The sequence below is a fragment of the Homo sapiens genome, chromosome 6 (assembly GCF_000001405.40).
Source record: "Homo sapiens chromosome 6, GRCh38.p14 Primary Assembly".
Classification (NCBI taxonomy): domain Eukaryota; kingdom Metazoa; phylum Chordata; class Mammalia; order Primates; family Hominidae; genus Homo; species Homo sapiens.
This window is the reverse complement of record NC_000006.12, coordinates 23716259-23726528: the sequence shown is the minus strand read 5'-3', so window position 1 is coordinate 23726528 and position 10270 is coordinate 23716259. Positions and strand designations below refer to the sequence as shown.

General features: G+C 35.0%; 1 annotated feature.

Moving 5' to 3' along the window:
- Nucleotides 9522–10023: an enhancer, noted in NCBI's record as "NANOG hESC enhancer chr6:23716734-23717235 (GRCh37/hg19 assembly coordinates)". NCBI's record gives its function as "activates a minimal SCP1, AML or CMV promoter by ChIP-STARR-seq in primed H9 embryonic stem cells {active_cell/tissue: H9 hESC(primed)}" and the evidence as "EXISTENCE:reporter gene assay evidence [ECO:0000049][PMID:30033119]".

Sequence of the window (10270 nt, the reverse complement as noted above, 5' to 3'; positions counted from 1 at the left end):
ACATATGCACTCAGTCATTTAATCAGCAAATATTTATTGAGCACTGCCTTTTTCCTAGCCACTCTATTAACTGCTGGAAATATAAAGAGTCTTCTCCCTTAAGGCATCTACAGTGAAGGAGACTTACAAAAAGATAATTGCAATACATTATGTCTACATGTTTTTATGGAGATATGTGTAAAGCATGAAGGCACAGATGTAAGACAGCAACATCTCATTACAGACTGGAATATACTAGCATAAGTCAGGAGAGGTAAGGGCTAAGATGAATCCTAAGGATGAATTGATCATTAGATATTAGAGAAATAAAAAATAGATGCACAATTAGGAGTATCTTTTATCTTAGAAATGAATTGTTCAATAGGAATGGGAGAAGGCAACAGGAAAAGAATTACAAGTAAATGAGTGATCAGGATAGAACGTATGGAAGAGAGAGTCTGTAAGAATATGTGGTGAATTACAAGAGGTTTACAGTGGTAATGACTTTAGTAATCACGGCGAACACAGGCACTCAGTCATTTAACACCATGAACACATGCACTCATGCATTTTTTATTGTTATATGAAAATTTTAAGGCAAGAAATGGTAAGGGTTTAGAATTCAGAAGATTAGGCAGAACACTGATTCTGAAAGCTCTTAGATGCCATGCCCTAGAAGAGAGTATAACTGAGTCCAGGTGATGGATAGAAAGGGATAGGAAGAAGATTAGATTTTCTAGATGCTGTTCCAAATTACGTTAGTCCAAGAATCTATTATATTCACCATTTGCCTCTGGCAAGTAAATGGTGAGGTGGAAACACATTTCTGCAGACTTTGTGAAACCACGAATCTCTTATATTCAAACATAGTACATACGCACGAAAAGTCAAGATTCCTGTACAGCCTTCCCAGAAATGAGATGTGGAAGCTTGTATAGTCAAAAGGTGCTGAGAATACATTGTGGTCAAGTGTTTGCTTCTAGTGCTTCAAAGAATCTGGCAATCTGAGATATCTATGATATTTCAGTCCCAAAAGCACGAGCACGCTCAAGGGTTGTCTGTTGAAGACTTAAGCAATGGTAAGTATTTTCTGAATTTGAAAGTAAATTTGATTTATTCTACTCTGGAATGGTAGAAAATAAGGTATCCAGGAAGTATCCATGAAATTTCTGGATATTCTCAAGTGGCATGTGTCATCCATGTGGCTCTTTGCATACTCTATGAAATAGATAAGAAGGCACAACAATTCATTTTCATCCTCTTCATTGTCCCTCTAGTTAGTTTCAACTCTACTCTGGGTCCAAGTTCCTTTATGCCTATATAATCCCAATACATTCAAGTTTCCAAAAATTCAGGTTTCCTTTTTTATACCCATTGTTTATTTCATGTCATTCTCTGAAATCTAACACTCAGGATATTTTTTTCCCTGCTTTTTAAGTCCTATGGTTGCCTAGCAATTAAGATCTTCCCCTATATGGCTTTGCTGGTTCTGTTAAATCTTATTCTTTATTTCATCTCAACTTTCACTATCAGATTTAGTTAAATGTCCTTTTCTGTCCGAGCACTCCTGCTATTTTACTTACATGGAAGCTTCTCACATCTCTGTCCCCAAAGTTGTCCCTCTGAAAGTCTGGTCTGTTTTGTAAGGTTCGGTTTAAGATCAATCTCTTTTATGGGGCCTTTATTTACTATTCCAGGTGTTGGAAAGTAAAATAATGAGCAGTAACATTGTTGACAAAATATGTGATTGCATTCATGCCCAAATTGTATTTTAGAAATAGGTAGACTTATTTTTAAAAATCTGAAGAGGAAATGTGCAGACACACACCCTCCCACACCCCATAAAAGTGAAGGAATATTAGAAATGCAAATTTACACCAACCAATAAATGGAAAGTAAATGTCAGATGTTTTACAGGTCTGACTGTATTATAGTTTACCTGCACTTGGAAGGAAATCAATTAGTATTTGGATAATCATCAGATAATGACTATAGATATGCAAATATAGTAGATTTGGCTATCAAACCTCTTTTAAAAAAAATAATTAAAAACCTGGTATATGAAACACTGGACATGCCCCAAGATCAATTCTGAGTGGAACTTGGCTGGAGGCAGGAAGGGTACAAAAGATAAAAATATAAGGAATCTCAAAGTATATCAAAGTATGTGTGATATATGTATGTATACACACACACCCCCACCCCAAGCATGTGTATTTGAGAACTTCTGAAGACCTGCAGCCCTATCGCTTTTTCCATTGTGCTTTGACAGGTCTATATGGTGAATACAGCATGTAGTTGTATGTCTACATGGTCTCACATTGTCTCATCTATTCCCCAGACATTGCTGCAATCAGGAAACACCACACTGGGAAAAGATGAAAGCTCGTCCTTCTTGGACCTTGTGAATTGGCCTGGGAATGGAGAAATCAAGGTGGCCTGTGGCTTAGAGTGGTCTCCTTACCCTCATCAGGCTTGCTCATAGTGGGATATAGAACAGGAAGTCAACACCAGACCTCACTAATCTGGCTTGCCTCTGATCTCCCATAGTAATAACGTGCTGTTGCTGTCATATTAATCAGCAGCTAATTATGTTCTCTCTTTAATGATTTTTTTTTTCACTCTTTCAACTGTATTGGAGATCCTTGAGGGCAGAGACTCTTCTGTATAACTATTGCTATTCTCCCAGTGTTTAACACAATGCTGAACACAGAAAAAGTGTGCCATATGTTAACTGATCCCATTTTGTACATAAAGACATGAGAAGTCCACTGTATTTAAAAACTTATTTCACTAAGGCATAATTTTAATAGTGCCATCATCAGTAATTCAGTTTTTATTTGAGGCTGTTGACTTTTCACTACATACAAATAATATTAATTGTGCACTTAATATGTGTAAAGTCTTTTCACATATGCTATTTAAGTTAATTATCACAACCAGAGCCAGATTAAGAAGCAGACCATCTGTGCCATTGCCCAGGGTCCCATTCTGACAGGCAGTGAGAATCTACAGGCTTTTAAATATCACTGGAAGATAGAGATAGTATTTATCCGAAGTCTTCCAAGATCTTGTTACTCCACGTGTGGTTTAAGGACCAGCGGGCACAGGCATCCCCTGCGAGTGTGTCAGAAATGCAGAATCCCAGGTCCTGCCCAGCCCACCTGAACCAGAATTGCATTTTAACAACATACCAGGGACCAGATAGAAGTTTGAAAATCAGCCTCAGGGATCGTAGTTGAAGATACACCACAAGAGGCATGCTCAAATAGGTGCTCACTAAACGTATTCTAGGACCAGTGGGTCCAGTAGATATCAGGGCTTTCCTTTTCTAAGTTCAATATGCAAATTGAGGGGCAGAGAGAAATTGCTGCTTATGTAGCAGAGCCTGAGAATTGCTAGTAAGATTCCCACTTGACTTTCAATGCAGAGCATGCACAGGCAGTATTATAAGTACAATTCAAGAAAACATTTTAAAAATGTGGATGTTAAAGGGCACCTTTGCTCACCAATGTGGAGTCCCTTAAACTTACCCAGTGGGCCTGGAGCCCTTTTGCTTACTGCCTCCCTTCATGGGATGTACTTTCTCCAGGTCTTTGCTTGGCTGGCCTCTGTTTTGTCATTTAGGTTGCCTCTTTGGAGAGATTTACCCTGAACATCTTTATTAAAGTAGGCATGTAGTCTCTTTACTCTCCTAATAGCGTGTATCACTCTCTAAACTTATCTGACTTATTTGTCTTCCCTCTCCAAATTGTTTGCTCCAGGAGGGGAGGAAGTTTTTCTTGCCCCCAGAACCCTGGTACATGGCAGATGCTGAATAAATGGTTGCTGAATGAATGAGTCAAGAGATAGTGGTATCAAAACAGTTACTAAGATGAATATACTAACAAATACTATATTAATACATAATGAGCTATCTAATGATCACCTACATCTTGAAGTTTGGGCTAATTTTGCATTATATTTTAGGTTTCCATTTGAGAGGCAGGATGGTTTGTTATAAATATAGGGCATAGATTAAGAGGGTTAGAACCCTTTTTCATTTTTTTCGGCAACTATCCATTGAGTGCCTTCAATATGACAGGCACTGCTCTAAGCAACTAGTCCTGCCACACATTCGTGCATGACTTTGTTCACGTTACTAAGCCTATTTAAACTTCAGTTTTCTCATGTATAAAATGACACTAATAATAGTACATGCACCCACTTTATAGGCTTGTTGAGAGTGTAAATTGGGGTAATGCATTGAAAATGATTATTGCAGACTCTGACTTATCCTAAGCACTCAATATATCAATATTAGTTTCAGCAAATTTAGACAGCTGGTGCTTAGGAGGATGAAGAATCTTTCTAATAGAAATAATGTTCACATTGTGATAATAGTGATAATAGATGGTATTCATAAGTAATTTAAAATATTTTTCAAATTACTCTCATCGCATTCTCTTCTCTTATTGCAATGTTTTTCCTTCATTTTATCTTCACAGAGAAAATAAATGTGTGTTTACCAAATTCATTTTACTTCTTTTCATCTTCTCCTGTTGCAGGCCAGTGTTATATTACAGTATGTGAAAAAGGGGATTTTCTATTGTTTAATTTTGCTTTTTGTTGCCATTTTCATTGAATATAACAGATATAGTATAAACAAATATTTGATGTACAGCTTGATTAAATTTTGCATGTGTATACATAACAAACATCTAGATTAGAGTGTAGAACGAGACCAGGGTCCCAGAAATCATCCCCATTCTAGTACCCAATTAATACCACCCTCTCCCATATGTCATTTCTAATCTGACTTTTTTGTGGATTAGTTTTGCCTGCTTTTTAAGTTTATGTAAGTGGACTCATTTATATTCTTTTCTGTTTAGCTTCTTGTGCTCAATATTGAGTCTGTGAGAGGTATCCAGGTTGTTGTCCTTAGTTGTATATTTCTCATTTTGATTGACATGTAATATTTCGTTGTATAAGTGCATCTGACTTGAGCTATTCAAGGATTCTGATGAGTATATGCAGTGGTATCACATTGTGGTTTTAATTTTTATTTTCTCAACACTTACGATGGGAACGATATTTTCTTACATTTATTGGCCAATCTTATATCCTCTTGAATGAAGTGCCTATTCAAATCCTTTGCTTACTTTAAAAAAAATTGATTTGCCTGCCTTTTAAAATTGGCTTGGAAGTTTTTTATACATTGGGTATAAATGTTAGTTAAGTAAATGTGTTGAAAATACCTTCCTCCATTCCATGCCTTGGATTGTCACTCATTAATGGTATCTTGTGATGAACAGAAGTCTTCATTTTAATGTAATCCAATCATCAGTCCTTTTATTTATGATTAGCACTTTGTAGGTCTGTTTCAGAAATCTTTGCCTATTCCCCAAAACATGGCTGCTTTTTTGTGATTTATTCTATAAACTTTGTCAGTTTTATCTTTTACATCTCATCTCTTTTAAAGGAGCTATATATATCTCATTCATATATATGTATATATGTATATATTATATGTATTATATATGTATATATGTATATAATATATATATGTTATTTGCTGGTATCAAATTCTCATTTGGCAAAATTTTATTACAGCACTTTAAAGATGCTATTTCACTGTCTTCTGGCTTTCACGGTTTTATGTGAGAAAGCTCTTCGGTGTCTGATAATTACTCCTTTGAAGGAAATGTTTCCTTTATTTCTGATTGTGTTCTAAATTTTTTTTCTTTCTTTTGTTTTCCTTTGGCCCGAGTATAAAGTGCCTGGGTGTGGTTCCCTTCATATCTTTCCTGCTTAGGGTTTATAAAGATTTTGAAGAAGTGATGTGATGCTTTTAGGTTTTTTTTTGAAATTTTGTCAACTAGTGTTTTTTCAAATATTTCTCCCGTTTACCTCTTCAATTTAACATACATGTTTTTCCTGTGTTGCTCATGTCTTCTATAATGACATCTATGCTTTCTAATATATATCTATATCTATATTTATAGTCTATCATCCATCTCTCTATTTCTCTAGCTATCTATCATCTATCTCTCTTCCTATCTACTTATCTATCTGTCTTAAATTTTCTGGTTTTAATTGGATATTTTATGACTCTTGTGGCAGACATATCCTAGGGTCACCCTCCAATAAGTCACTCTAACTTGTCATCCCTGCCCTTGACTGTGGGTAGAACCTGTGATTGCTCCTAGCCAATCAAATATGGCAAAGGTGATAGAAAGTTACTCCTTGGATTAGATTTTGTTATGTAGGACTGTCTTAGCAGAACTGAGTGAGAGAGTCTCTTTGTCGGTTTTGAAAAAGATGGCCTCTAGGAGCTGAGAGTGCTGCTGAATGACAGCCAGCAAGAAAACAGGAACTTCAGCCCACATTTGCAAGGATATGAATTCTGCCAACAGCCCAGAGGGAGTTGAGAGGCAGACCTTTCCCCAGTCAAGCCTTGGATAATACCACAACCTGCCAGCTGTCACCTGGCTTGCAGCCTTGGTGAGCCTTGAGCAGACTCAACTAAACTATGTCCAAATTCTGCACCTATGGAGACTGAGAGATTAAAAATGTGTGTTGTTTTGACTCTAAAGTTTGTGGCAATTTGTAATAATTACCACAATAATAATTTCTGTAAACTTGCATTAATAGAAAACTAATACAACTCTCTTCCGGTTCACATATAGCATATATATATATAGCATAATCCCTATGTTCTTGTATGTTTTTCTGCTAAACAGTATTAAATTCATGTCTAATGTTAATTTTATTTGTCATATTCCAGCTCTAAGACTCTTAATATATTTATATAATTAGTAAATTTTTTTTTTATAAATTATCTGAACAAACAAATTATAGCTGTTTCAAAGCCCTTGTCTGCAATCTCCAGTATTTCAACCACAGATACTTTTGTTTCCATTGTCTTTTACTTTGGTTTTGGATCATTTTTTTTTTGTTTCTTGGCGTAACTATTACTTTTCTAGTCAATGTCAAATGTTCAGCAAAATTATAGCCAGAATTCTTCTTCTAGCCATGATGGAGTAATTGGAAATTTGGACTGAATATATGACATAAATATTTCCTGACATTGGAAACCAGGCAAGACAAGACTGTGATCTTTGATAAAAGAAAAGTAAATGAGATAAACCCTTGGGCCATGCTTGCTGCCTGCCTGGAGGCATTATTCCATATTATAGTGCAGAAAAGAAAGCCAAGCAGGACATGGTGGCCTGGCTTCGGTGAGACAGAGACTGGGTTTTGGAGATGATGAAACAGTCAAAATCTGCAGAGCAGAGTACTATACAGAAGAAAGCTATGAAAATAAATTATTTCAAGGTCTTGCATAGGTGTCCCCTTGAAACTTTGGCTATAGGTAAAAGAAGAATTGGGCAATGAGAGAATATTTAGAACTGAATAAAAATTAAATAACAATATACAATTTGTAGTATAAATCTAAAGCATTGTTTAAAGGGAAATTTATATTTTTATATTAGAGAACAAAAGCTCTAAAAATCAATGATCTAAGCTTTCTCCTTGAGAGGACAGAAATAGAAAAAAAAATTAAATCCAAAGTTAATAAGGAAAGGAAAGGCTAAAAAGCAAAAATCATTGAAATAGCAAATGTTTGAAAAACAGGTAAGAATAAATTAAACTCCAAACTGATTATTTGAAACGTTCAGTGAAATTGATAACCTTTGAGATACATGAATCAATTCAAAATAAAAGATAGTAATTACTAGTATCAGGAATAAAAGTAGGGTCACTGTATGAAGACATTGAGTGAAGTTATTGTATGAGTACAGTGTTACCATGATTCAAAACTAAATAAAACCATCACATGAAAATTGTATACCAATATCTCTTATGAACACAGACACAAAATTCCTCAAGTGTACATTGGCAAATTGAATACGAATTGAATACATAAAGAAGGCAATGCATTATGACCAAATTGTGTTTATTCTTGGAATGAAAAGTTTGTTCAACATTTAAAAAATAATCAATGTAATTCACTATATTAAAACAGGAATAAGAAAATAAAATGTTATTAAAGTCATATAAAGTATTTTACAAAATTTACACTGATTTATAATATTTTCAGAATTTATAAATGGGTACTTAATTTGATAAAATACATCTTTGAAAAACATGGAGCTAACATGTTTAATTGTGAGAAACTTAAAACTTTCTCCTTGAAATGGATAACAAAATAAAGATATATGCTCTCGTCATTTTCATTAAAGTTTGTTCTGGAAGCCATTGTAAAAATTCAAGAAAAGTACAATGTATATAGATTGTAAAGGAAGAAGTAAAATTCTCTAAATTTACAGATGTTATAATTATATATATATTAAATTCTAAAAAATGTACAAAAACTTTTGGACTAATTGAATATTTCAAGGCCTCTGGCTATAAGAGCAGTAATAAAAAATAAACTATTAACAGTTAAATTGGAAAATTCAAATATAAAATATTTATATTTACAACATCATCTAGAATACATGGAATACTTAGGGATACATTTAAGAATATGTGTTTAGGAACTCTTTACTGAAATATACTAAACAATGCTGAGAGAAATTAAAACCCTAAATAAATAGAGGATATATCACGATCATGAATTGGGAGATTCAATAATAGTAAGACATAAATTCTCAGTTTAATCTACAGGCTCTACACAATCCAAGTCCAAATTTTAGTACTTTAAAAAATATATAATTGACAAGCTGATTCTAAAATTAATCACGGAAAGGACCTGAAAGAGCCAAAACAATTTTGAAAAAAAGAAAAAAAGGAAGTTGAAGAACATATGCTGCTTTTAAGATTTAAAATAAGGAATACAAACTGATTAAGACAGGTTAGTACTGGTATACGGTGTAGATACATGGATCATTGGAACAGAATGGAGAATCTAGACATTGATTCACACATCAGCAGTGAATTGATTTTCAATACAGACGCTAAGTAACGAAATGCAAGAACAATAGTGTTCAACAATCATGCTGGGACAAATGAATAGCCACATTAAAAAAACTTCAATCCTCCACTCCCATCATACATAAACATGAATATGAAATAGGTTATGAACCTTAACTAAAAGCTAAAATCTAAAACTTTTTGAAGAAAGCATAGGAGAAAATTTCTGATTATGTTACAGGCAAAATTTTTTTAGAAACCTTAAATACTAGCCATAAAAGAAAACAATTGATAAATTGAACCAATTAAAATTATAAACTTCTGCTCTTTGAAAGACAAAATTATGTAAATAATAAAGTAAGCAACAGACTGGGAGAAAATATCCCCAGTACATACATCTGACAAGGAACCCTTATAACTCAATAGGAAGCAAAATAATTCAATTAAAAAAAATGGGAAAGAAGCTCTTTAGGAAAGAAGCTAGGCTGGGCATGGTGGCTCACACCTATAATGCCAGCACTTTGGGAGGTCAAGGCAGGTGGATCATCTGAGGTCAGGAGTTCAAGACCAGCCTGGCCAACATGGTGAAACCCCATCTCTACTAAAAATACGAAAATTAGCTGGGCATGATGGCAGGCACCTGTAGTCCTAGCTACTCAGGAGGCTGAGGCAGGAGAATCTCTTGAACCTGGTAGGCAGAGGTTGCAGTGTGCTGATATCGTGCCATTGCAATCCAGCCTGGGTGACAAGAGTGAAACTCCGTCTCAAACAAACAAACAAAAAGGAACCATGGGTAAGAAACAAGAGTTCCAAGTCTTATTTCAATAAAGATTAAAATGTGAGAATCTAAAAACAAAAAAGACCAGGCACGGTGGCTCACACCTGTGATCCCAGCAATTTGGGAGGCCAAGGCAGGCAGATCCCCTGAGGTCAGGAGTTCTAGACCAGCCTGGCCAACATGATGAAACCCCATCTCTACTAAGAATACAAAAATTACCTGGGCGTGGTGGTGCACACCTGTAGTCCCAGCTACATGGGAGGCAGAGATAAGAGAATCGCTTGAACTCCAGAGGCAGAGGTTGCAGTGAGCTGACATTATGCCATTGCATTGCAGCCTGGGTGACAAGAGTGAGATTCCATCTCAAAAAAAGTAAAATAAAAAAATAAAAGCTATGAAATTCTCAATATCATTAGTCATTAAGGAAATGCAAAGGGAGATCACAAAGAAATATCAATATACAATCGCTGAAATGGCTAAAAATAAAAAATAAAGATTGAAAACCACATTTTGGCAAGGATGTGGAGCAGCTGGATCCATCATCTGTTGCTATTTGAGAGTACAAACTACTTTGGAAAATGTTTTTTATGGAGTTAAACGTACTCTTACCAGGTG